The sequence below is a fragment of the Homo sapiens genome, chromosome 9 (assembly GCF_000001405.40).
Source record: "Homo sapiens chromosome 9, GRCh38.p14 Primary Assembly".
In the NCBI taxonomy this organism is placed as follows: Eukaryota; Metazoa; Chordata; class Mammalia; order Primates; family Hominidae; genus Homo; species Homo sapiens.
In genome coordinates, this window is record NC_000009.12 from 69,273,377 (window position 1) to 69,274,399 (window position 1,023).

The window sequence follows — 1,023 nt, forward strand, 5'->3', positions numbered from 1 at the left end:
CAGGCTAAGAATAGGACTCTGACTGATGAAGGAAGGTGACAGCCGTGGGCTGGGAGGAACTTTGCTCTTAGCCAGGGCTTCATTAAAAGGCCTAAAACTCAGTTTAATTCTTTGCTCTTCGGTTTGCCATCAGCCTGTGGTTTTGCTGTTCCATGTATCTCTGTGAAATCTTGTCAGCTGTGTAATCACACAAATAATATGGGCTGGAGATGCTTATGGAGAGTTCCAGGGAATGTTTCTTCTCAGTAGGCTTCCAGCTTGGGACCCTGGGTCTAAGTTTGCCAGACAATTCTCTATTTCACCTTTGCAAGTCTTTCCTCAGATGCATTTTGGTTTGAGGCCCAAAGGATATTTTTGCATTTTCTAAAAGCTTCTAAGAAAAATCAGTGAAGTTCTCTGCCCCCTTTGCGCAGTAGGCGCTATTGTAAAGCAGCAAATTATCTTGAAGTTAGAGGATGGGGCTCCCTCACTGCCTCACTCTGCAGCTTTGGACAGTGTAAGCTTTTCGAACCTCAGCTTTCTCATCTGTGAAATGGGGGTTATTTAAACCCCACTCTTGGTGTTGTTGTGATGATTAAATGAATGTTTGGAGCATATCTAACACAATAAGCGCCCAAAGAATGTCAGCCAATAATCTCCTACAGAGGAGAATATCCACGTGTTTCTCAAGAAGTCCCTTGGGCTCAAGCTCCAAGGCCCAGAATAGCAACCTCAAAAATGCACCCTTAGACAGTACTGGTTTCCCCTTCTTCAGGATCTCATGCTCCTTCCTCCCTCTGACTTCCTCGGATCACCTCTCACATAGGCTAACCTGTATGAAGATCCTTGTCTTGGCCTCTGCTTCAATGAACCCAAGGCGAGATGGCCATAAATGAACAAAAACAGCAGAGTATTCTGAAGTTGTTTGTAGCTACACTTCGCAGGAGTTAGCATCATTTGGTCACATGAAAGATGATGATAACAACAATGTTGACAAGAATTAGGATGATTTGGTATTCCGCTCATTAGATTCTACAAATCTTG